Source organism: Homo sapiens, chromosome 17 (assembly GCF_000001405.40).
Source record: "Homo sapiens chromosome 17, GRCh38.p14 Primary Assembly".
Taxonomy (NCBI): Eukaryota; Metazoa; Chordata; class Mammalia; order Primates; family Hominidae; genus Homo; species Homo sapiens.
Window position 1 is genome coordinate 9,640,182 of NC_000017.11, and position 25,899 is coordinate 9,666,080.

The following is a 25,899-nucleotide window of genomic DNA, read 5'->3' on the forward strand; positions in this document are numbered from 1 at the left end:
ATGCACGTGCAGGTTTGCACTCCTGATTCCTGGTCAAGCACTCTTTTTTTTTTTTTTTTTTTCAACTTTAAGTTCAGGGGTACATGTGCAGGATGTGCAGGTTTGTTCCATAGGTAAACATGTGCCGTGGTGGTTTGCTGTACGGATCATCCCATCACCTCGGTATTAAGCCCTGCATGCATTAGCTATTCTTCCTGATGCTCTTCCTCCCCCCACCCACCACCCCCCGACAGGTGCCCCAGAGTGTGTTGTTTCCCCACGTGTCCATCTCTTTTCATCCTTCAGCTTCCACTTGTAAGTGAGAACATGTGGTGTTTGGTTTTCTGTTCCTGCGTTAGTTTGCTGAGGATAATGGCTCCCAACTCCATCCATGTCCCGGCAAAGGACATGATCTTGTTCCTTTTCATGGCTGCATAGTATTCCGTGGTATATATCTGCCACATTTTCTTAAGTTTATTCTGTTTTTTTTGGAGACAGAGTCTCACTTTGTCACCCAGGCTGGAGTGCAGTGGCATAATCTCAGCTCACTGCAACCTCCTACAACTTTCACCTCCTGGGTACAAGTGATTCTCATGCCTCACCCTCCCAAGTAGCTGGCACTACAGGTGTGTGCCACCACATCCAGCTAATTTTTGTATTTTTAGTACAGACAGGGTTTCACCATATTGCCCAGGCTGGTCTCGCATTCCTGACCTCAAGCAACGGGCCCAACTCGGCTTCCCAAAGTGCTGGGATTATAGGTGTGAGCCGCTGCACCCAGCTGGCCGTATCGCATTTTCTTTATGCAGTCTATCATTGATGGGCATTTAGGTTGATTCCCTGTCTTTGCTATCATAAACAGAAGCATTCTTTCCTAAGAAGGAAATTTAAATCTTGAATAGATTGTGCATTCACAAAGTTTAAGGTACAAAGGCAGTATATTCAGGAAAAAAATCACCCTCCTTTAGGCACCTGTCTCTCCATCCCTAAGGTAGTTCTGCTCCCCAACAGGGAACCAAGGTTACCAGTTCCTCTTTAAACTCTACCCTGTGGAATATTTCAGTGCTTTGGAGCAGAAGGGAAAGTTGGGAATAAGGGTGGTGTGAGGAAGAGGGAGGGCGCAGTCCCAGTGGGAGGGTGCCTGTACAGCCCAGTCTCTAGAACTCTGGGGAGTGGGGAGTGCTCATCCCCCAGTGAGAAGGAAGAAAATGCTTTTCCTCCCTCCAGGCCTGAAGCTTAGCTGTGGATGCAGAGGCTGTTCTTTCTTTTACAGCTTGCTTCAGGCTGAATCTTCTTAGTCTTATCAAAAGCCCTTTCTGTCTTAATCCAGGTTTATCAGCACATCAACATGTCTTTAAATAGAATGCAAATTTAAAACCAATACTAAAAATATTAAAATGGTTTTGCCACCCCCTGCTGTAGCCTATTTATAATTTCAGCCAGTATCATCCCGTGGTGTATTTTTGCTCCCTTCTATATAAAGTAGAGCCATCTTTTGTTAGCATGTGCATGGATGACTCTCCTGAGCTGAGTCCTGCTTAATGCTTCTTTCCTGAATTCCAGATTGCTTACTGGGAAGTATTTGATGGGACAGTAATCAGAGAATTGGAAGGTTCCCTGTCTGGGTCGATAAATGGCATGGATATCACACAGGAAGGGGTGCACTTTGTCACAGGTTAGTCCTGGGATAGGAAAAAGCCAAGCCTGGCTTATTTAGACGAGGACATGGAAGGAACTCCCAGGCTAGAGGCAATTGGAAAAGACAACAAAAGGGTCTCAAGGCAACTTGGTTAGAATCAGATTCCAACCAATACTGCAGCCAATGTGGCTGAGAAAGAAAAATCCAGAAGTCACATTTCAATGAGAGGAAACATTTGCACAAGAGCCTTAAGAGCACAAATAAAAGCCAAGACTTAGATTGCTAGGCTTGCTATTTTTGGTGGGCATTGATAATAGAAATGGGGCCTTTAAATGGCCTGGGCTGTCCAGCATACTTCTAAAGTCTTAAAAGCCAGTCTTTTAATTCCACTTTATTATTGCATGATGCGATGCCCTTCCCACCAAAACAAATGAATTAACCAATATTTCAAAGGGGCATTTACCACACAACATGCCGATTGGAACATCATTATCATTTCCTGCCAAGCTCTTTGATTCATCAGGATATTAACAAATAAATGCGGCCAGGCGTGGTGGCTCATGCCTGTAATCCTAGCACTTTGGGAGGCCAAGGCAGGTGGATCACCTGGGGTCAGGAGTTTGAGACCAGCCTGGCCAACATGGTGAAACCCTGTGTCTACTAAAAACACAAAAATTAGCCGGGCGTGGTGGTGCACGCCTATAATCCCAGCTACTTGGGAGGCTGAGACAGGAGAATTGCTTGAGCCTGGGAGGCGGAGGCTGCAGTGAGCTGAGATCATGCCACTCCACTCCAGCCTGAGTGACAGACAGTCCGTCTCAATAAATAAATAAGTAAAAAATAAATAAATGCATGAAATGAATTAAGTTTCACAAGTACATTGACTACAAAGCAGGTATCAAACTAGACACAGTGTGATCCCAATCATATATATGATGTATATGTATACCAGTATACTTATAGAGAAAAGACTGGAAGGAACTAAGCCAAGATATTACTAGTGGTTATTTCTGGGTAGTGGGATGAAATGTGATTTTACCTCTTTGTATTTCCCCCTCCTCTTCAAATTTACTGCAACAGATAGATTTTTATAATCAAGTAAAAGTGTTATTATAAAGACAGATACATGGGGACCATGTTGAAAATGATCCAGTTATTTGAAATCAGGGCTGTTTCTCTCTCTCCTATTGCAGCAATGCCATATACGTGTTTATCTTTTTCAGGTGGAAATGACCATCTGGTCAAAGTTTGGGATTATAATGAGGGTGAAGTGACTCACGTTGGGGTGGGACACAGTGGCAACATCACACGCATCCGCATAAGTCCAGGAAATCAATATATTGTTAGTGTAAGTGCCGATGGAGCCATTTTGCGATGGAAGTACCCATATACCTCCTGAAGCTGATGAGATGTCTCTGAGCCTTGGCGTTGCACGCAGTCCTGTTGAAGACTGAGTTTAGATAACTCCAACACTAGTCTTCATTTCTCACAGCTCTGTTTTTGTTCTTGAGTCAATTTTTCTCTTTTTCTTTATAGAATGCATTTTATATTCTTAAATTGCATATTAAAATTGAAGTATGTTCAAGAATAATTTGTGCAGACTCTAATTAGAACTTTTAACATTTTGAATAAATTCTTAGTTGTTGGTTTTCTGTTATAATTTGTTTTCTGCAACTCTGCAAAACCCACAGACCTTCCTCATGATCTGTGCACAGACAGCATTGCTATTATCCTCTAAAAATAAGGTGAGGTGAATTTCCTTCTTAATTGCCATTTCATTGGTCAAGCTATATGGGACTAGACTCAGATTTAAATCCAGATCTTGGGCAGGCTTCTTAAAAATTCTCTGAGCCACAATTTTCTCTTTTGTCAAGCAAGAGTAAGTTCCTGCTCAAAAGGTTATTGTGAGAATTAAGTGACTAATGTACTAAAGCATCGGCAGAATTCCTGACAGGGTAGAGAGAAATATGCATGCTTTCTCAAAGAAAATGTGTGGTGTTGGGGATCTCAGGACAATTACCAAAGAAAGATGAAATTACAGAGATGCTTTATTGGAGTTGGCCATTACATCTTTCTTCTGTGCTTTCCACCAGAAGGGTGATGAAATGGACCTTGTGTCCTTGTGTATTAATCACCCAGCCGGGTATCTTTTTCCAGAGAGGGGTAAATAATGGCATTTTCCAGAACGCAAGTCTCCGATTCACAGTACCGTCTGATGTTTTAAGCATGTTATTTATCCTTTAAGTAAGGCTGCTTTTTTGCATGAGGTAACTGCTGTAACCCGGTTTGAAAGATCAAGTTTTTTGTTTGTTTGTTTGTTTTTTGAGACGGAATTTAGCTCTTGTCGCAATTTAGCTCTTGTCGCCCGGCTGGAGTGCAATGGCGCGATCTCGGCTCACTGAATCAAGCGATTCTCCTGCCTCAGCCTCCTGAGTAGCTAGGATTACAGGCATGCGCCACCACGCCTGGCTAATTTTGTATTTTTAGTCGAGACGGGGTTTCACCATGTTGGCCAGGCTGGTCTTGAACTCCTGACCTCAGGTGATCCGCCCGTCTCGGCCTCCCAAGGTGCTGGGATTACAGGCGTGAGCCACCGCGCCCGGCCAGGATCAAGAATATTTAATAAATGATGATCACTTATTAAACAACAAGTAACATTTCAGAGCGTTAGAATACTGCATCTCACATGGTGCTGATCTCTTCCTGAGCTAGAAATTGACGAGAAAGTCATTTTGCAAGACCTTGCCTGATTAATTATAAACCTGACAGTTGCATGGGATAAAGTGAGGGGTGGGGGAGGGGCCCAGGGTTACCCAGGGAATCAAGGGCGGGGCAAGGCCAAACTAATTCTGATTGGGCAATCATTCAACAAGGATCGTGCGTTAAGGAGTGAACCAGAAACCGCGTAGGGGGCGCGCCTGAGAGCCTGAAAACTTCCTGGTTAGCAAATACTGAGGCTGGAAAGGGCCTGAACTTGGCAGTCCATAGATCCAGGTCGAGTTCCGGTTTCCCTGCTTACGGATCGGGCGGCCTCCCTACGTTGCGATAACCTCTCTGAGCCCCCTTCCTTGCCGATTAAAGCAAGGGTGATCAAGTCTTGCAAGTTTTTGGAAAATGATTCTAACCCAATCTGTGGTGTAAAAAAGCAAACCACAACCACTCGGGGGCTTTTTTCACAGGGCAACACGTGGCTCCCAGTTCAGGTCCCGGGTTGGCGGGTGCAGGCACAGACTCTGCCTCCCCCCAAGGGGCAGACGGTCTGGAAGGAGGTGGCGACACCTGTCCGCACACACCTGAGCCTGCGGAGGAACCAGCGGTGCACAAAAGCGCTCCCCACCCCCACACAGCGCCCAGCGCGCGCCTCTCACCACGCCCGAGGCTGTGCTCTGGAGATGCCTGCCTTGCCCTTTTCTTCCTGCAGTAGCCAGGCCTTTACCATTTACTAGGCGCTTTCAGAATGTTCATTTCTCCGTAATTTCCACTGCTTGAAGGCTGCTCGAGGAACAGGAGCAGCGGCGAAACCCAGGTCTGTCGGTTTACGAGGTAAGGAAGGGTGGGGAATCCGACCACGAAGACTCCCAGTCAGCGCAGCGGGGGCGGCACCAGGCAGGGGTAGGGGTGGCCCGGCGCTGCCCTGGAGGGGGCTGGTCGTGCCGCCGGATTCCCGCGCGGGGCGGGGCTGCCCCGCCCTTGGCTCCGCCTCCGCCCCGTCCCCGCACACCTGGCCCGCAGGTAGCCGGCACCAGGAGCCTTAGAGAAGCTGTAGGGCCTGCTGGCCGCTCGTCCGCCTCGCGCCCGGGGGCTCCGCGCCTGGAGCTGCGCCGGCGGCAGCCATGGACCTGGGCCCCGGGGACGCGGCAGGAGGGGGACCGCTCGCGCCCCGGCCCCGCCGCCGCCGCTCCCTGCGCCGCCTGTTCAGCCGCTTCCTGCTGGCGCTGGGCAGCCGCTCACGCCCCGGGGACTCACCGCCCCGGCCCCAGCCGGGACACTGTGATGGCGACGGTGAGGGGGGCTTCGCCTGCGCCCCGGGCCCAGTTCCAGCGGCCCCCGGGAGCCCCGGGGAGGAACGCCCGCCCGGACCCCAGCCCCAGCTCCAGCTCCCCGCCGGCGATGGGGCGCGGCCGCCGGGCGCTCAGGGCTTGAAGAACCACGGCAACACCTGTTTCATGAACGCGGTGGTGCAGTGTCTCAGCAACACCGACCTGCTGGCCGAGTTCCTGGCGCTGGGGCGCTACCGGGCGGCTCCGGGCCGCGCCGAGGTCACCGAGCAGCTGGCGGCGCTGGTGCGCGCGCTCTGGACTCGCGAATACACGCCCCAACTTTCCGCGGAGTTCAAGGTAGGCAGCGCTGCGCCGCCGACCGCCCTGTCCCCCTGGTTTCGCCTCTTGAAAAGTGTGTGCACGATCAGGAAAGGGTTTTCTTGGGGCCTTCTTTAAATGCCGTTGACCAGTTCAGCCCCGGATTACCGGCTTTGTTTTGAGTCGATGTGTTACGCTGTCGCTTGCTTATGTTTTCTTTGTAAATTAATTCTCCTAGGTATTTTGAGAGGGAGTGGGGTGAGCTGGCAGATTGAAGGGTAATCAGCGTTTTTGGATTCAACAAGCATTTGTTGAAGTATTGAAGGCTTGTGGGCCAGACAGTGTTCTAATGCCAGCTCTAGAGCTTCCAGTCTGGAATGATGTGGGGTAGGGAATGGGATGTTGAAGGCCAAGGCCTCAGAGGAAGGAGGTGATGCTTGCGTTGAGATCTGAATGATGAGAAGGATGCAGTCAGGGCAAGCTGTAGGACTAATCCAGGCAGGAGGAACAGCAAGTACAATTGCCATAGACCCGAAGGAGCTGAGTGCTGGAGACAGGGAAAGAAAAGCAGTGGCGTTGGAGCTTAGGAGGCAGATGAGTTTCGCCAGATCACGTAAGACCTAGGAGGCAACGGTAAAGAGTTTGGATTTTATTCTAAGCCCAGTGGAATCTGACAACCTACAGGCCAGGTACCGTGCTGAGTGCCCAGCAAAGGCAGTGAGCGTGCTATTTTGGAGATAGCATCCTTTTGTTTAAGGCGCATTCAATCCCCTACAATGTATGAGCACGGGCTTGCATTTTATTGTCTGCAAGATCACGGTCTACTTACTCGGGTTGCTGCCGGGTCGTGAGGCTTTGTAAATTGTTTGTATCACTTCACCCGGGATTAAAACGGGGTGTTTGTTTGGGGTCCCAGTTGGATTAAAGCGTTCCTGATAATTGATGCACATGGCTTGCTTCCTGCAAAAAAAAAAAAAAAAAAAAGAAAAAAAAGAAAAAAAAAGAAGAAGAAACCCGCAGCTCTGGGCAGAGAACTGAAGCTCCCTACAGACTAGTGATTGTTGTTCTTGGGGGAGGGGGAAACCTGTCAGTGTTCATTCCACAAGCATCACCGCTCTTGAGTTTCAGCCCGAGAAAGCAGTGTTTGCCATGTGACCCATGAGATGCCAACCCCCACCTTCCTCCCTCCTGCCTCCATTAGTGAAGCACTGTTCTGCAGCAGCCAGTGGGTCAAATGGTTGTCACTAAATGTCTCTTTTTGGTGACATTTGCTTTTTAAGAAAGAGGCAGTATAGTATAGTGGTTAAGAGCAAGGTCTCTGGAGTTTTGTGACCTTGAGCAAGTTACCAGATCTCTCTGTGCCGCAACTTTCTTCATCTTTAATATAGAACCATAATGGTACTTACCTCGTTATACGGTTGTTGTATTAAATGAGTTCTATGTAGAACACAGTGCCAGCCCCACAGGAAATGTTCATTATTCTATCACGACACCTTCTCACCTGCAGAAACCTAGAGCAGGGAGGGAGGTAATCTTTATGTACATTTTCTCTTGCTAGATGCATTTCCATCCAGTTACCACAGCAATGGGAGAGGGCTGCAGTAGTTTGAAAACACTTCGAAATTGGCCGAGCGCGGTGGCTCACGCCTGTAATCCCAGCACTTTGGGAGGCCGAGGCGGGTGGATCACGAGGTCAGGAGAGCGAGACCATCCTGGCTAACACGGTGAAACCCCGTCTTTACTAAAAATCCAAAAAAAAAAAAAAAAAAAAAAATTAGCCGGACGTGGTGGCGGGCGCCTGTAGTCCCAGCTACTGGGGAGGCTGGGGCAGGAGAATGGCGTGAACCTGGGAGGCGGAGCTTGCAGTGAGCCGAGATTGCGCCACTGCACTCCAGCCTGGGCAACAGAGCGAGACTCCGTCTCAAAAAAGCAAAGCAAAACAAAACAAAAAACTCCGAAATTAGTAATCACCCTCAATGACTCACCAGAATTCCCTATCTCTCTCCCGCTGTCAAATCCCCAGGGCCTGGGAGCTCCCAGTAAGCCTCAGGGAATTGAAGGATAATCAAGTTTGTAATATGTTAATGAGGGAGATACAATCTGGAATTTCCTGGGATTTTTGGGTAGTCAGCTTTGGAGGGAGGAGTGGAGGATCCCAGAATCCAGGCTTTAAATATTATGGATTGAAATCTAGGTGAGCTCTTCTTATTTTACAGATGGGGAAACATTCGTTCAACAAATATTTATTGAATGTCCAGAGAGTAGACTAGGAATGCATGGAATGCATGATGAGTGATGAGTACAAACCCAGATTCTGGGGCTGCTCTCCAGGAGCTTATGGTCTAGAGGTAGAAATGGATGTTAATGAAATAATCACACAGGCACATGATTGGAACAGAAACATGTTAGAAAGGACAAATACAAGGTGCTATGACAGTTACAGCAGGAAAATGTGATTGGATTGGGGGAGATCCTGTGGGGTGGGCAGGGAAAGCTTCCCTGGAGAGGTAACCAACCGCTGAGTTGAATTTTGAAGGATTAGGTGTCAATGAAGGGCTTGGGAAGATGGGAGAGTGCATTCCAGGACCTGGGAACTGGAATGCCAACCAGGGAAGGAGGTGGGGCCGAGAGACCTTCAGTTCAATAAATGAATAAAAGCCCACTTGGCTGGGGAGGAAAGGCTGGAGAATTAGTTGCAGACACACCACACAAGGTTTTCTTAAGGAGTCTTGTCTTTTCCTTTCTCTTTCTGTTTCTCTTTCTCTCTCTCTTTTCCTTCCTTCCTTCCTCTTTCTTTCTTTTTCTTTCTCTCTCTCTCTCCCACTCTTTCTGTCTCTCTCCCTCTCTCTCTCTCTCTCTCTCCCTCCCTCCCTTCTTTTCTTCCTTCCTTCCTTTCCCTCTCTCTCTCTTTAAGAGAGAGTGTCACTCTGTCACCCAGGCTGGAGTATAGTGGTGTCATCATAGCTCACTACAGTTTTCAATTCCTGGGCTCAAGCGATCCTCCTACCTCAGCCTTCTGACCAATATGGTGAAACCCTGTCTCTACTAAAAATACAAAAATTAGCCGGGCGTGGTGGCGTGTGCCTGTAGTCCCAGCTACTCAGGAGGCTGAGACAGGCGAATTGCTTGAACCTGGGAGGCGGAGGTTGCAGTGAGCCGAGATCGTGCCACTGTACTCTGGCCTGGGTGACAGAGCGAGACTCCCTCTGAAAAACAGAAAGAAAAGTCCTGTCCGTGGTATTACCTAGAATTCTTTTCTTCTCTTTCTTTTTTTTAAATTTTATATTTTTATTTTAGATTCAGTGGGTACATGTGCAGGTTTGTTATAAGGGTGTATTGTGTGTTGCTGAGGTTTGAGCTTCTCTTGGCCCTGTCACCCAGATAGTGAACATAGTGCTCAACAGGAAGGTTTTCGGCCCTTGTCCCCTGCCTCCCTCCTTCCTTCTGCGGTTCTCAGTGTCTATTGTTCCCTTCCTTATGTCCATGTGTACCCAAGATTTAGCTCCCCCTTATAGGTGAGAATACGCAATATTTGATTTTCTGTGCTTTTCTAATGATGTAATTAAATGTTGCACATTGTAAAAAAAAAAAAAAAAAAAGTTAAAATGTAGAAAAAAAAAGAGATCTGTAATTTTAACCCCTAGAGATAACCATTGTAAATATACTGATACGTTTCAAGGTATATACAAACAATTGAAAATTTTAGTTTTACATCCTGCTTTTCTCATTTAAGCATTGTTACAAGACATTTTCCTAGTCTTAATAATACACAACAATCATTAATAATTAAGTCTTTAACAATTAATATATTATTAAATTAACCAATTCTTTATGGAGATCTATGGTTATATTAAAAATTTTAGCCATCTGGAATTTATATTAGCTTATGTGCTTAAGCATCAATTTTAGATCTACAGTGATATACTGGAGACATGGCTTTTTAAAAACAAGGATGCCTTCTTCACCACTCTTACGTTTTGTAAGTTCTGGACAAAACAGTAAGACATAAAATGGAAATGGAGTTTCCATTTTCCAGTATTATACTGTATTGAAGTTTCTTGTATTTAAATCATTGTCCTCAGCTGTGATTATTCCCATAAGCTTAATTCCTACAAATGGAATTACATAGTCAAAGCAAAAGTATGACTGTTTTATTATCTTTCTATTTTTACTTTTTAAATAAACTTTATTGAGGTCTAAACTATATACAGTGAAATGTACCCATTATAAGCATAAAATTTAGGAAGTTTTAACAAATGTGTGAACCTGTGTAGTCACCATCTTACTTTTAAATATTGAGTTTTTGTTGTTGTGGTGGTGGTGGAGACAGAGTCTCACTCTGTCGCCCAGGCTGGAGTGCAGGGGCGCTATCTCGGCTCACTGCAACCTCCACTTTCTGGGTTCAGGCGATTCTCCTGCCTCAGCCTCCCAAGTAGCTGGGATTACAGACATGCACCACCATGCCCAGCTATTTTTTGTATTTTTAGTAGACACGGGGTTTCGCCATGTTGGCCATGCTGGTCTCAAACGCCTGACCCCAAGTGATCCACCTGCCTCGGCCTCTCATTACAGGTATGAGCCACCACGCCCGGCCAACATACCTATGTTTTTGTGGTGAGAACATTTACGATCTATTCCCTTGGCAATTTTCAGGTATATAATGTATTAACTGTAATCACCAGGCTGTATAATAAATCTTCATCCCTTATTATTAATTTATTGAACAAAAAGAAATAGCATATTTTTAAAAATTTTAATAGGTTTTTGGGGAACCGGCAGTATTTGGTTACATGGATAAGTTCTTTAGTGGTGATTTCAGAGACTTTGGTGCACCCGAGCAATGGACACTGGACCCAGCGTGCAGTCTTTCATCCTTCACCCGTCTCCTACCCTTCCCCTCGAGTCACCAAAGTTCATTATATTGCTCTTGTGCCTTTGCATCCTAAGAAATAACATCATCTTCTAAACTTGCAAAAATAGTTTTTTATTTTTATTTCTTTGATTAGGAGCGAGGTGGACGATTTTTCCATGTTTCTTTACTAGTTGCAAGTCTCCTCTTGGAATCAGCTGTTTGATGTTTTTTTTGTTTGTTTTTTTTGTTTTTTATTTGAGACAGAGTCTCACTCTGTCACCCAGGCTGGAGTGTGGCAGTGGTGCAATCTTGGCTCACTGCAACCTCTGCCTCCCGAGTTCAAGCAATTCTCCTGTCTCAGCCTTCCGAGTAGCTGGGACTACAGGCGCGCGCCACCATGCCTGGCTAATTTTTGTATTTGTAGTAGAGACAGGGTTTCACCATGTTGGCCAGGCTTGTCTTGAACTCCTGACCTGTGAGCCACTTTACCCAGCCCATCTGCTCAATGTTCTTATGCATCTATCTATTCTGCTTTGGTCTCAATGTTTTTATGTTTCTGTAAGTTCCTTAGTTCTTGTCATATTTGCTACAAATATTTTCTCAAAACTGTCTCCTTCTCCCACCCCAATATTGGAAGATTTCGATTTATTTATATCAGACATTATGATAAATATTTGATTTTGCGTACCTGCTTTTCTATGGTTATATTAAAATTTTAGCCATCTGGAATTTATATTAGCTTATGTGCTTAAGCATCAATTTTAGATCTACAGTGATATACTGGAGACTTGGCTTTTTAAAAACAAGGATGCCTTCTTCACCACTCTTGTGTTTTGGAAGTTCTGGACAAAATAGTAAGACATAAAATGGAAATGGAGTAAAAAATATTAGAAAGAAAATTGCTAAAATATGCTAGAAATCCTTATTTTAGCTTTATTACTGTCATTCATGATACCAGATAGAAGGTAGAAAATCAAAGGAATAATCATTTAGAACATATAAAATTAGATTTGTATTCAGAAAACAACCAGAAATATGAAATAACTAGGAATAATTTTAATAAGAAATGTTAAAAATTATCAATGTTTGGGAAATAAAACATACATACAGGTAGAGTTATGCCATGTTGAAGGAGAGAAATAACCAAATCTAGGGCTGAGCACAGTGGCTCATGCCTGTAATCCTAGCACTTTGAGAGGCCGAGATGGGAGGACCGCTTGAGGCCAGGAGTTCAGCCTGGTCAACACAGCAAGCCCTTAGCGCAAAAAAAAAAAAAAAAAGAAAAGAAAAGAAAGGAAAAAAAAGATGTGAGATAAGTAACCAAATATTACAGTTAATTCTTCCCAAGCTAGTTAACTGTTTGGGAACTGCTTTGTGCAGTTCTAGTTATGTTTCCATAGACTTTCTTTTTTTTTTTTCCTTCTTTTTTTGAGATGGAGTCTCGCTCTGTTGCCCAGGCTGGAGTGCAGTGGCACCATCTCGGCTCACTGCAAGCTCCGCCTCCCGGGTTCAAGTGATTCTTCTGTCTCAGCCTCCCGAGTAGCTGGGACTACAGGTGCCCGCCACCACGTCCGGCTAATTTTTTGTATTTTTAGTAGAGACGGGGTTTCACCTTGGTAGCCAGGATGGGTTCAATCTCCTGACCTCGTTTCCTGCCTGCCTTGGCTCCCCACAATGCTGGGATTATAGGTGTGAGCCACCACCCCTGGCCTGTTTCCATAGACTTTCTAGGGGAATGTCTTCTGTATTCATCAATAGGTTATTAAAAAAAAATTCCAAGAAATACCTGCCAAATACTTTATAACTGGAAAAAGACAAAGAACAATGTTCACTGTTAAAAAACTTTGTCATTTACAAATGAAAATAAAACAATTGCTCATGATCCCATTATTCTATGATAACCATTTGCTACTATTTTGCCATGTATTTTCTGCTCTTTTATTTTTCTATCTATAAATATATACATAAAACAATCTCAAATATGTATTTTTGCATTTTTTCTTCTATGACCGGATTATTATTTTCTTTATCATTTGTATTTCATCAGTCATAAATTTTAAGGCCATCTGAGTATGTCATAAGTTTTCACCCAGATAACTTTGATATATACAGACATCTCTGGTTGTATCTCTCATTTCCTAAGGCAAAATCACCAAAAGTGGAATTGCTGTTTATGGAGAGGGACATTTTTAAGGCCCTATCTTGTCTTGCTTCTTGAAGTTGTCACCTCCTTTCTGAAAAGGTTGTCAGGTACTATAGCCAGGCTAAGATGAAGAGTGTCAGGCTTAAAAGATCATCATGATTAACTGGAGAGGAATGGATTTCACATGGAAGGAAGAACAAAAGCAAAGGTCTAAGCCAAGTGCAGTGGCTTACACCTGTAATCCCAGCACTTTGGGAGGCCGAGGCGGGTGGATCACCTGAGGTCAGGAGTTCAAGACCAGCCTGGCCAACATGGCGAAACCCCATCTTTACTAAAAATTCAAAAATTAGCCAGGTGTGGTGGCAGGCCCCTGTAATCCCAGCTACTCAGGGGGCTGAGGCAGGAGAATCATTTGAACCCAGGAGACCAAGGTTGCAGTGAGCCAAGGTCGTGCCATTGCACTCCAGCTGGGCAACAAGAGCAAAACTCCATTTCAAAAAAAGAAAAAAAAAAAAAGTAAAGGTCTAGACTGTAGAAGTAGGAAAGAGTGTTTGGGGCAGCTAGGTGGATTACTTACCTGGAGCTTTGAAACATGGAATGATATGGTTTGGGGCTGAACGACAGAGGGTGCTTGGACTATTTGGTGGTGAGCAGGAGAGTAAGGAACGATTTGGAGTCAGAGCATGACAATATTCAGCTGAGCTATAGGAAAATTGGTCTGGTCTACCATGAAGTCAGTGGGTTGGCAAGGGGAGAACCTAGGGGCTGGGTCCCTCCTTAGGTAGATATTGTTGTCTGGGTCAGCTGTAGGTGAAACTCAACAGTTGGAATGAGACTCTTCTATAGGGGAAGGGTAGAGACATTTGGGAACCAGCATCCAGAATGCTTAACAGCTGACCGATATGAAGGAGAACCTGAAAGATGACACCTACATTAAAAGGATGAGCTGGTTTTAGAGATTTTGAGTTGGAAGGGCCGGCTGCTCACCCAGAAGAGAATGTTGGTACAAGAAGATAGGTTTGAGGGTTGTTTGGGGGTAGGGTTGCCAGATGAAAAATATTTACCATGCCCAGCTGACTTTTAATTGCAGATAAAAATTGAATAACTTTTTAGTGTAAATACGTCCCAAATATTGCATGGGACATATTTCTACTAAAAACATATTCATTGTTTATGTGAAATTCAAATCTATCTGAGCATCTTGTATTTTTATTTACTAAATCTGGTAGCCCTACTTGGGAATCAACATGCAGAGAAGCCTGGGGGAAGAATCCAAACTAATGTGATTGACGTAAAGACTCAGAGCCACACTTGGGGAAGCCGAGGCGGGCGGGATCACCTGAAATCAGGAGTTCGAGATCAGCCTGGACAACATGGTGAAACCTCATCTCTACTGAAAATACAAACATTAGCTGGGTGTGGTGGCAGGTGCCTGTAATCCCAGCTACTTGGGAGGCTGAGGCAGGAGAATCACTTGAACCCATAGGTGGAGATTGCAGTGAGCTGAGATCATGCCATTGCACTCTAGCCTGGGCAACAAGAGTGAAACACTGTCTTAAAAAAAAAAAAAAAAAGACTCAGAACCAGCATTTCAGTTAATTAAATCTTGCATTTTTGCTTTGTCTCATCCTAAAATCTCCTTTATTTTTAGTTTTATTTTTTTGAGACAGAGTCTCACTGTGTCACCCAGGCTGGAGTACAGTGGTGCAATCTCTCCTCACTGCAACCTCTACCTCCCGGGTTCAAGCGATTCTCCTGCCTCAGTCTCCCAAGTAGCTGGGGTTTCAGATGTGCACCACCACGCCCAGCTAATTTTTGTATTTGTAGTATAGGCAGGGTTTCACTATATTGGCTTGGCTGGTGTCGAACTCCTGACTTAAAGTGATCCATCCGCCTCGGCCTCCCAAATTGTTGGGATTACAGGCATGAGCCACTGCACCTGGCCTCTAAAGTCTCCTTTAAATCTCAAGGGAAAATTAAAAGAAAGAAAGGAAAAAAAAAAAAAAAAAAAAAAAAAAGCCCAGACTGCCTGATTTGATTGGCAGTGGTAAGGATTGTCCTGGTCCTCAGTCTTATTAAAACCAGTCCCTTTGGCAGGCATGAACAGAGAACAGACCTGTGTGGGACGAGACTGGAGACTTGGCTCTGCAGTCTAAGAGTGGGTCCCACGGCCATCACGTGCTGTGTGCATGTGCATGTGTGGACACACAGACAAGTGATTTGCTTACACCCAGATGCCCACATGCTCACACATGTATAGCAAAAGTCCCTGGAGAGATGCTGAAGGAACTGCTAAAAGTGGCTGTCCCCTGAGAAGGGGTACCACGGGATGAAGGCCAGGTAGAAGGAAGACTTCATTATCATCCTTTTCTTATTGAATTATTGTTTTTTAGTATGTGCATATATTACTCTTTGCAATAAACTTTTAGAAAGTTGGAATGTACATTTATGCAGAAAATGACAAAGGTGCTACACAATTTAACAGAAGGACAGCGCAAGGGATACCAGGAATGCAAACACCACGAGGGCAGTGAGATGAAGAACCTGTTGAAGAAACAGATGTTCATCTTTAACAGTGCAAACAGATGATGATCTGTTTTGTTCACTGTTGTATCCCCGGTCCCTAGAATAGTGCCTGGCGTGTGGTTGGCACTCAATGCATATTTATCAAAGGAATGAAGGGCTGGCTCAGCCATTTGATGCCCTAACCACAGAAACAAGTTTGTATCCTTAAATTTCATACATATTAGAAAGAGGCAGTAGAGGAGCTACATGCATGGTGTTTAAGGAAATCAACTTCACTGCAAATGTGGGTATTCTGAAAGAAGAAAGAGTTGAAGCTATGAGAATGAATGAAATCAGCGAGGGAGAGCAAGTAGGGCTAGAAGGCTGTTCACCGTCTAGGTGAACAGAGAGAGACAGCGTGAGAATAGACCAATGGAGGGAAGATTAGTGGAGCATCATACCCCAGCAGTCACAGGAAGAGAGCTTCGGTGGGTCAGATGGTCAACAGTATCAAAATATTCAACAGAGACCACTCTGTGGGTTTTCAAATGATAGGATACACATCAGCAGTCCTCTGGGAAGAAAATGTCTTCTCCCATATACAGAGACCCTCATACCATTTGGGGACATTGCCCCAAAAGGACGGGCTTTGGCGTGAAAGAACATTTCTACCCCGGCTGTTTGTGTGCTGTCATCCCAGGTCAGGGCTGAATAATGACCACTTGGTAGACCTGGTGCTCACAGAGCCTTCATTTGGTTGTATAAGGGGCCAAATTCACCTCTCGATTTCCTTTTTTCCTTTCAGAATGCAGTTTCCAAGTACGGCTCTCAGTTCCAAGGCAATTCCCAGCACGACGCCCTGGAATTCCTGCTCTGGTTGCTGGATCGTGTACATGAGGACCTGGAGGGTTCATCCCGAGGGCCGGTGTCGGAGAAGGTCGGTCACTCTCAAAACAACACAATGTACTGGGTTTTCTTTTTTTCTTTTAAATATTGACTCAGCTCCTCAAAACTGAATCTTGAAATTGAGATTCTTAGATTCCTATATAGTCTGGCTACTATATCCACAGTCTGTTCCCTGCTTCCTTCTCTTAGCTGTGTTTGTTTTACACAAGGCGTTTCCTTCCATTCCAGTATTTCTCATTCTCTTTGTCCCAGTGATATAATGAATAGAGTTTCATTTTGGCTCAAAATAAGAAAAGTCTTTTCTTTGGTTTGTATTCCGTACATTAGTGTGGTCATCCAAGGCCATGAGTACCGTTCCTTATTATTTGCAGATGGTACCATTTGAACTCTACCATTGCTTTCTCAGTTATGTATTCTACAGAGTACCAACTGTTAAACTTTTCCTCTCACGACACAGGATGGATGATTTTTACACATGTGCATTTAGCATCCCCAGGTTTTGATGGAACCCCAAACCTTTCAGAGGAGGAAAGCACTACAATCATTTGTCATAAGCACAGCTAATTGATACATCAGGCGCAGTCTTTATGGACTTTGCTCAATGATGGCTTATGCTCTAATGCTAGTCCTTTATCTTGTACTTAAGAAAGTGAAAGTGAATGAAGTTACTATATTATGAAAGCATTCATCCATTCTCACACTGCTATAAAGAAATACCTGAGGCCGGGCGCGGTGACTCACGCCTGTAATCCCAGCACTTTGGAAGGCTGAGGCAGGTAGATCACTTGAGGTCAGGAGTTCAAGACCAGCCTGGCCAAGATGGCGAAACCCCATCTCTATTAGTAATATAAAAATGAGCCAGGTGTGGTGGCATGCTCCTGTAATCTCAGCTACTCGGGAGGCTGAGGCAGGAGAATCCTTTGAATGTGGGAGGTGGAGTGAGCTGAGAACGCACCGTTGCACTCCAGCCTGGGTGACATAGTGAAACTCCGTCTCAAAAAAAAAAGAAAAGAAAAAAAAGGAGACATACCTGAGACTGGGTAATTTATAAGGGAAAGAGATTTAATTGACTTACAGTTCCACATGGCTGGGGAGGCCTCAGGAAACTTACAATCATGGTGGAAGGAGAAGTACGTACCTCCTTCACAAGGTGGCAGGAAAGAGAGAGAGTGAGGGGGAACAGCCCTTATAAAACCATCAGATCTCAGGAGAACTCACTCACAATCATAAGAACAGCATGGGGGAAACTTCCTCCATGATCCTATCACCTCCCACCAGGCCCTCCCTCCACATGTGGGGATTATGGGGATTATAATTTGAGATGAGATTTGGGTGGGGACACAGAGCCAAACCATGTCAATGAGTGAGCAAAGTTATTTTAACAACATCTGTGAATAATCTGCTGTAATAGAAGAGAAGTTTCATGAGCTTTGATAATTCCATATCAATGAGTGAGCAAAGTTATTTTAACTACATCCACGAATAATCTGCTGTAATAGAAGAAAAGTTTCATGAGCTTTGATAATTAATCAATAACACATACCTTTTGACGTATCACATGGCTGATCCAGTTGCAGCCATGAGAACTGTTTTACCAGTTTTTTGGTTTTGTTTTAAATCTGGAAACATTATTCTCATTCTTTTCATTAATCAAATAAAAAAACCCTTGGAAAGTGCTTAGATCTTTCAACCATCACCTTCCCATCCCTTCAGTGTTTGCTCAGAGCCCGTCATTCTAGCGTAATAAAGAATGAACAGTGCAGGAAGCTTAGTCTTTTTTTTCCTTAAATTTGTCTGTTTCCTTTATGTTTTCCAACTGTTACCTTTCTATTTTTTTTCTCCCTTAAAATGTCAACTTACAACTTTAAGAAAAGGAAAACATAACTATATATGGTCCATGTATCAGAGAGATTGGGTAACCTTCTAAAGCCGCACAGCTAAGTAAAGGACAGAGTCAGGATTCAAGCCCAGGGGGGTCTGGTTTGAAAACCTATTTTCATATTTTAAAAATAATCACCCCAGTCATTCCCAAAACATACAAATGAAACGAAGCAAACAATCACCACAGTAAAACCTGGGAGGACCACACATTCAAAAGTCATGGTGGTTTCTCTGGGTTTTGAGATTAGGGGTGATTTCTTTTACTTACCATGATTTCCTGTTTATCTTATTCTGACCCCTTTTCGTTGTGACAGAAATTTAACTTAGTCTCACTTAAGGAAAGGGCATTTATTGACTTTTATAACTTGTGAGTCCAAGGGTCAAACCAGCTTCAGGTAGGGCTGGATCCAGGGACTCAGATCACGTCAACAGGTCTTTGACTATGTCTCTATCCCTTGTCTCTGGCTCCATTTTCAGACTGGCTCTGCCCAGATGGTAAGAAGATGGCCTTCTGCAATGCTCATGTAGTCTTTAGAGCTTGGGATTCCAGAAAAAGCCCAGGGAAGAGTCCGATTGTCTCAGCTTGGTTCACATGTCCATTCCTGGGCATGTGGCCAGAAGAATGGAATATTCTAATTGGGTGCAGCTGGGTTGCATGCCTGTGGGGGTGAACGTGGGCCAAGGAGAGCTTTTATAGAAATGGAACAGTTTGCTTCCCCAAAGAAAGGAATGCTGAGCAGATAAACATATGTCTACTATACTGTGTATTCCACAAGTTTATAGTGAACACATTTTGAAATCAGAAGGATATATTTTTTAAAAAGATACTGTTTGTCGAATGTTTGTTATGTGCCAGGGGTGTAACTTGATGCTTTGCACAATTTATTTCTCTACCTGACACAGAGTAGACAATAAACTCTTGAAGTGATTGACTAAATTAGTTATCATGCTTTACTATTATAAGGATAACTCCTATTTTACAGTTAATGGAAATTTAGGTTAAGTTGCTCAAGGTCACTCAACTTCTACTTGGTGGAGATAGAATTGAACCTGGCTTTGTCTATTTCAAAGCCAGTGTGCTGGGTTCCTTTTCCTAAAGCTTTCCTCATGCTTTCTCAATTTCCCATGGCGGGAGAGAGGAGACTTAGAAATAGGTGGTACCTCTTTCTGCTGGCTGCGTAGGAAAAGCCCTCTTATCCTGTTTTTTTTACTCTCTCCTCTCCCTGGCTGTACCAGGCAGGTCTTCCTACTTGTAAGGTAGGTGGGATAGATAGCCTTTCCATTTTCCTTTTCTATCTCTTGGTAGCAGGAAAAGGCATTGATTGGGCTTAAGGGTGGAGAAGATCCCCGAGAGGTTAAGTAACTTGCCCCAAGTCACACAGTTATTAAGTGAGAGAACTAGGACCCAAATCCAGCAAACTCAACTCTGTAACAGGGTTCCTTAACTTCAACACTGTTGGATGTTTGTGGCCGTTTGATTCTTTTCTGAGAACGGCTGTCCTGTTCATGGTAGCATTAGTAGATGCCAGTCTAGATGCCAGTCTAGTAGGCATCTAGACTAGGCATTTGACTATTTGTGATAGCCAAAAATGTCTTCAGAGATTGCCAAATGTCCTTTGGGATGGGAATGGGGATGGTGACAAAATCACCATTCCCCTAACCCAGTTGAGAGCTACTGCTCTAGAACCTTTGTTTCTTGCTGTGGTGCACCACCCCCAGACCTTTCTTTAAGATAATATTGTGTTTATTTAAGCCAAGAAGGCCTGGCAATAATTCTTTTTTTTGAGATGGAGTCTTGCTGTGTTGCCCAGGTTGGAGTGCAGTGGCGTGATCTTGGCTCACCACAGCCTCCACCTCCCGGGTTCAAGAGATTCTCCTGCCTCAGCCTCCTGAGTAGCTGGAACTACAGGCGTGTGCCACCATGCCTGGCTAATTTTTGTATTTTTAGTAGAGACAGGGTTTCGCTATGTTGGCCAGGCTGGCCTCGAACTCCTGACCTCGTGATCCGCCTGCCTTGGCCTCCCAAAGTGCTGAGATTACAAGTGTGAGCCACCACGCCCGACCAATAATTCTTTTTAACAACTTCAAGACACAAGTAAAAGCAGCCATAATTGGTTTTCCAATTTTGAATATGTCCCATTGCAATATACTCCACACCACCACTAGATAGAAAGGAAATAAGAGCTTGTCCCTCTTCTGCTTAAATTCCCCCACTGGATTCCAATAGCACGTAGAACAAAATTCAGACTCCTATGTGACTGACAGGGCCCAGCCTGATTCCAGACCCCTCTGCCCCTCGCTCCCTGGCCTTGATCTCTCCAGCTGCTTCCTGTTCCTTAAGGGGCCAGGCATGTTAGGAGTAGACCAGCCAGGCAAGACCAGGGGGTGGCTATTGGCTAGAGAGAGGAGCTTACCCCACCCTTGGTTTGACCTGATTGAAACCAGAAAAGATCTCTTTCTCTGTCTGGGGTCAAAGCCTCTCCTCAAATTTGCTCTCAGAAAATTGGGCTGCCTGCGGAGGCCCGGCTGTGTACGCTTGAAGGTAGAGAACAGAGCTGTTGGGATTATCCGGCGTGAAACTTCATTTTCCCTTTCCTAGAAGGAAAGCCACTGTCCTCTGTGAAACTCTGATTTTTTTTCTCTTTGAGGTTATTTCTGTTTTTAAGACATAGGAAAGCTATGTAGCTAGATTTATTTGAAACTGGAATAAAAACCATAAGGGCCGCTTTCTTTTCTGTTAATTTACTGATCCTCAAATGTTTTCATCCTGCAAAGAGGGCACATTTTTATTACCCTGTTAGAAACCCTAACACAATCTTTTTGTCAGTTTGCTTTCCAGAAAATGCCGCTCTTGCAGAATTAAGTAGGGGATGAGGCTGGGGAGAAGATAAGGAAGTTGACATATATTAAACACTGACTATGTGCAGGGAAGATACACAATACATGTCATCTCTTGGGATTTTGTTTATTTTTATTTATTTATTTTTTTTGAGACAGGGCCTCACTCTGTTGCCCAGGCTGGAGTGCAGTGGAGTGATCATAGCTCACTGCAGTCTTGACCTCCTGGGCTCCAGCACTCCTCCTGCCTCAGCCCCCGACTGAGTAGCTGTGACTACAGGGATGCACCACCACACCTGCTTAATTTTTTAGTTTTGTGGATACAAGGTCTCACTATGTTGTCCAGGCTGGTTTCAAACTCCTGGATTCAAGCAATCCTCCCACCTTGGCCTCCCAAAGTGCTGGGATTACAGGTGTGAGCCACCGTGCAGGTCATCCTTTGTGATTTTAATGGTAGTTCCATGAAATTGATGTGTTAGATGTAGAGTGAGACTCAGAGAGAGAGGCTGTCATTCAGCTAACAGAGCAGAGCCAGCGTGAATGACCCCCTGCTGCCCCTCACTCCAGCCTCTTTCAGGGTTTTCTTTCTCCATACCCTTCCCTGGGTGATCCTGTCCATAGCCCCTCCCAGTGCTGTTCAGTGTCATTGAACCCATTGAATTCTTGGGTTGCAAGCAACAGCAACCGACCTGAGCTGACTCCAACAAGAAGGGAACTTAGGAGAAGGCCAAGGAGCCCCACGCTCAATGACAGGGAAAGCTGAAGGACCAGCTTGGAACTGTCAAGAATCAGGCAGCTGTGAGGGTATCTCAGCAGCAGGAACTGCTCCATTCTCTTCCCTGGACAGCACAGCCCACACAAATGTTTTCAGTCTTTGGCCACTCTGTTCATGATTCACGTTCAGAGTAGGAGCATCTCAGTGTGGCTTGCTTGGGTCATGGGCCTATTCCTTGGTAGGTGAGGGCAGGACCCCTGATTAAAGAGCCCTCCCCATGCATGGACTGGATTCAGGGTTCCAAAACAGGGGTTGCTACTACCAAAGGAGGAGGAGTGGATACGGGGCAGTCAAAATAGGCTAGGGTCCGCTATGCATCCAAGTTACCTCCTCCAAGTGCCCTTCCCCTATTTGTCATGAATGTCTCTGCCTGGATATTGAGTCACCTCAAACCCAGCATGCCCATCCCAAACCCACGTCTCCTTTTGACTTTACCTCTCTGTGAATGGAACGGGGGTTCTCCAGGCACCAGACTGGATCCTTGGAGTTGATCACGTTCCTCCACTCCCACAGTTGGGGGCCGAGTGGTGAGCTACGTCCACAGGTGTCCTGAATCCATCCCTCCTTTTCATCTTCATGTCTCCTGTTCTACCTTATCCTGTTGTTTCCTGAACCCTTGAGCCTCCTAATCTGTGTCCTAACCTCCAAACTTATGCTTCTTCATCTGGGAGTCAGTAGCTGCCAAGTTAAAGCATCTCTCCGAGCATGTTGCTACCATCTGAGTTCAAAACTCATCAGGTACTCCTCCTTGTGTAATAACAACTGCCACCTACACTGTGCTTTGTACCAGACATGTTTCTAAGTGTTTTGTATATATGATCTCTTTTTTTTTTTTTTTGAGGCAGAGTCTTGATCTGTTGCCCAGGCTGGAGTGCAGTGGTGCGATCTCAGCTCACTGCAACCTCCGCCTCCTGGGCTCAAGCAATTCTCCTCCCTCAGCTTCCTGAGTAGCTGGGATTACAGGTGTGCACCACCACACCCGGCTAATTTTTGTATTTTTAGTAGAGACGGGATTTTACCATGTTGGCCAGGCTGGTCTCGAACTCCTGACCTCAAGTAATCCACTCACCTCGGCTTCCCAAAGTGCTGAGATTACAGGCTTGAGCCACTGTATTCAGCCTTATGTTTTATATATATATATAACTCTTTAAATACTCAGAGCATCCCTATCAGACAGGTACTGTCATTATCCCTTTATTATAGTTGAGAAATCATGGAGCAAAGAGATTAAGTAACTTTTTTAGCCGGATCAGAGCAGTCGAGTAACTTGTAGTCAAGTACCGGTGTGGGGATTTGGATGTTCTTTTTTTTTTTTTTTGAGACAAAGTCTTGCTCTGTCACCCAGGCTGGAATGCAGTGGTGTGATCTCAGCTCACTGAAAACTCTGCCTCCCAGGTTAAAGCGATTCTCCTGTCTCAGCCTCCCAAGTAGCTGGGATTACAGATGTGCGCCACCATGCCTGGCTAATTTATGTATTTTTGGTAGAGATGGGGTTTCACCATGTTGGCCGGGCTGGTCTTGAACTCCTGACCTCAGGTGATCCACCCGCCTCAGCCTCCCGAAGTGCTGGAATTACAGGCGTGAGCCACTGCTCCCGCCCAGACATTCTTTTTGTTTGTTTGTTTTTGTTTGTTTGTATTTTTGAGATGGAGTTTTGCTCTTGTTGCCCAGGCTGGAGTGCAGTGTCGCAATCTCGGCTCACTGCAACCTCTGCCTCCAGGGTTCAAGTGATTCTCCTGCCTCGGCCTCCTGAGTATGTGGGATTACAGGTGCCTGCCATCACGCCTGGCTAATTTTTTGTATTTTTGGTAGAGACGAGGTTTCGCCATATTGGCCAGGTTGGTCTTGAACTTCTGACCTCAGGTGATCCACCCGCCTTGGCCTCCAAAAGTGCTGGGATTACAGGTGTCAGCCACTGTGCCCAGCCTGGTTTGGACATTCTTGACCCTGGTACCATGCTGTTCACTGAGCCAGGTAGTCTCTGTTAGGACATAGAAGCCCCCACCCACTGTGGCACCAGACTCACTTTCCAGCCCTGTTTTCTACTTCCCTTTGCACTTCCTGTATTCTAGGGAAACTGGGTGTCATAAAATATTAGGACATATAAGAATGACCATTTTGAGCACTCATAACTTGTCTCAATATTTTATTATGAAAAATTTCAAACATATGGAAAAGTTGAATTAATTATGCAGTAAACACTCCTCCCCATCACCTAGATTCTACAACTTACGTTGTACTAAATTTGCTTTATCACGCATTTACCCATCTGTCTCTCTATCCACTCATTACTCATATCTTTTTTTCCCCTCATCTTATTTTCTTGGATGTACTTTGAAGTAAATTGCACACCTTACCCAAGACGCTTCACATATGTTCCTTTTGCCTGGTTCTGTCGTCTGCTTTCTAAAATCCTTCAACATTTACCCCTAATGTCACCCAGGTCTTTACGTACACCTCACTGCCTGCCTGTTCTTCTAAAGGTATATATAGACAGGTGCACGATGTATCTATGGTATTCAAGTTTCATGGTGGAAATGTTAGGAAAAATTGTCTAAAAAGACTCCATGGGGGGAGTGATGATGAAAAAGTTGAGAGGTGCTGCTCTAGGGCATATTTTATGTGGGGCCTTGCATAGATTTTTTTTTTTTTTTTTTTGAGACGGAGTCTCGCTCTGTCACCCAGGCTGGAGTGCAGTGGCACGATCTCGGCTCACTTTAAGCTCCGCCTCCCGGGGTCACGCCATTCTCCTGCCTCAGCCTCCCGAGTAGCCGGGACTACAGGTGCCCGCCACCACGCCCAGCTAATTTTTTATATTTTTAGTAGAGGTGGGGTTTCACCGTGTTAGCCAGGATGGTCTTGATCTCCTGACCTCGTGATCCACCCACCTCGGTCTCCCAAAGTGCTGGGATTACAGGCGTGAGCCAGCGCGCCCAGTCAATATTTATATAGGTACGTTTATATTTTACTAAATAGCGTTATATTATGAGTGGCTTTGATTCTGGGATTGCCCTTAGGGACAGACCTCTTCCAGGGCAGAAATTTTGGCATAACAGGGCCTTAATCAAAATATTGTGTCCCATGTGTGGTAGGGAATGGGCAGGGGGTGAAGAATAAATTTAGGGAAACTAGAAAGGTCATATAACTCATTTTGGAAGGGATAGGGGTCCAGAGGAGTTTGGTGGCATTAGGGCACACAGAAGCCCTGAGGTGAGATAGGCTAAAAAATGACCCCCAAAGATATGAGGTCCTAATCGCTGCATCTTGTAGATGTTGTCTGTATTAGTCTGTTTTCACACTGCTATAAAGGAATACCTGAGACTGGGTAACTTACAAAAGAAAGAGGTTTAATTGACTCACAGTTCCACATGACTGGGGAGGCCTCAGGAAACTTACAGTCATGGTGGAAGGGGAAGCAGGCACCGTCTTCACAAGGTGTCAGGAGAGAGAGGAGTGAGCAGCAAAGGGGGAAGCACCCCTTATAAAACCATCAGATCTCATGAGAACTCACTCACTAACACGAGAACAGCATGGGGGAACCGCCCCCATGATCCAATCACCTCCCACCAGGTCTCTCTCTAGACATGTGGGGATTGTGGGGATTACAATTGAAGATGAGATTTGGGTAGGGACACAGCCAAATTATATCATTACCTTCTATGGTAAAGACTTTGGAGATGTGATTAAGAATCTTGAGATGGGGTCATTAACCTGGATTATCCCAGTGGGCCCTAAATGCACTACCAGTGTTCTTGTGAAAGAGAAGCTGGGGGAAATTTGAGACACACACAGGAGAAAGCTATGTGAAGACAGAGCAGAGAGAGAGTTGAAGATGCTAGGCTTGAAAACTGGAGTGATGTGGTCACAAGCCAAGGAATGCCGGCAGCCACCAGAGTTGAAAGAGTCAAGGAACAGACTCTCATCTAGAGCCTCCGGAGGGAGTGCAGCCCTGCCAACACCTTGATTTCAGTGCCGTGATACTGATTTTGGATGTCTGCTCGTGAGAACTGTGAGAGAGTAAGCTATTGTTTACAGCCCCCAGTTTGTGATAATTTGCTGTCACAGCCACAGGAAACAAGGAAA

The 25,899-nt window shown here is 45.0% G+C and overlaps 2 protein-coding genes and 2 long non-coding RNA genes across 16 annotated transcripts in view, besides 4 other annotated features; 2 read left to right on the forward strand and 2 right to left on the reverse strand.

Moving 5' to 3' along the window:
• CFAP52 (cilia and flagella associated protein 52) overlaps positions 1 to 5,373 on the forward strand; it is a 68,913-nt gene extending 63,540 nt beyond the window's left edge. For 5 of the 8 annotated variants that reach the window (XM_047435437.1, XM_047435439.1, XM_047435438.1 and 2 more), the window contains one exon: positions 5,065 to 5,373. In XM_047435437.1, coding sequence (XP_047291393.1) covers positions 5,065 to 5,373 — 309 coding nt within the window. Of the gene's footprint in view, positions 1 to 1,542; positions 1,655 to 2,841; positions 3,267 to 5,064 lie in introns of those variants that run through there. The other 3 variants (NM_145054.5, XM_017024227.2, NM_001080556.2) reach the window with 1 other exon arrangement.
• Positions 3,649 to 5,246, reverse strand: LOC124903924 (uncharacterized). Its single transcript, XR_007065615.1, has 2 exons — positions 5,055 to 5,246; positions 3,649 to 4,326 (listed from the first exon to the last, which is right to left on the reverse strand). It is a non-coding gene; the product is annotated as an uncharacterized LOC124903924 (long non-coding RNA).
• The window catches only part of USP43 (ubiquitin specific peptidase 43), an 84,428-nt gene continuing 63,607 nt past the window's right edge, over positions 5,079 to 25,899 (forward strand). For 4 of the 6 annotated variants that reach the window (NM_153210.5, NM_001267576.2, XM_011523639.3 and 1 more), the window contains exons 1-2: positions 5,336 to 5,955; positions 16,222 to 16,353. In NM_153210.5, coding sequence (NP_694942.3) covers positions 5,452 to 5,955; positions 16,222 to 16,353 — 636 coding nt within the window. In that variant the 5' untranslated portion in view covers positions 5,336 to 5,451. Of the gene's footprint in view, positions 5,162 to 5,335; positions 5,956 to 16,221; positions 16,354 to 25,899 lie in introns of those variants that run through there. The other 2 variants (XM_017024159.3, XM_047435319.1) reach the window with 1 other exon arrangement.
• Positions 5,209 to 5,268: a silencer, noted in NCBI's record as "silent region_8198". NCBI's record gives its function as "represses an Ori minimal core promoter by ATAC-STARR-seq in GM12878 lymphoblastoid cells {active_cell/tissue: GM12878}" and the evidence as "EXISTENCE:reporter gene assay evidence [ECO:0000049][PMID:35858748]".
• Positions 5,577 to 6,224: an enhancer, noted in NCBI's record as "H3K27ac hESC enhancer chr17:9549075-9549722 (GRCh37/hg19 assembly coordinates)". NCBI's record gives its function as "activates a minimal SCP1, AML or CMV promoter by ChIP-STARR-seq in primed H9 embryonic stem cells {active_cell/tissue: H9 hESC(primed)}" and the evidence as "EXISTENCE:reporter gene assay evidence [ECO:0000049][PMID:30033119]".
• Positions 5,924 to 9,509, reverse strand: LOC107985011 (uncharacterized). Its single transcript, XR_001752790.2, has 3 exons — positions 7,323 to 9,509; positions 6,746 to 6,876; positions 5,924 to 6,536 (listed from the first exon to the last, which is right to left on the reverse strand). It is a non-coding gene; the product is annotated as an uncharacterized LOC107985011 (long non-coding RNA).
• Positions 6,914 to 8,113: an enhancer, noted in NCBI's record as "BRD4-independent group 4 enhancer chr17:9550412-9551611 (GRCh37/hg19 assembly coordinates)". NCBI's record gives its function as "activates an origin of replication core promoter dependent on BRD2, P300/CBP, MED14 and CDK7 cofactors, and independent of BRD4, by STARR-seq in HCT116 cells {active_cell/tissue: HCT116}" and the evidence as "EXISTENCE:reporter gene assay evidence [ECO:0000049][PMID:35650434]".
• Positions 21,983 to 22,482: an enhancer, noted in NCBI's record as "H3K27ac hESC enhancer chr17:9565481-9565980 (GRCh37/hg19 assembly coordinates)". NCBI's record gives its function as "activates a minimal SCP1, AML or CMV promoter by ChIP-STARR-seq in naive H9 embryonic stem cells {active_cell/tissue: H9 hESC(naive)}" and the evidence as "EXISTENCE:reporter gene assay evidence [ECO:0000049][PMID:30033119]".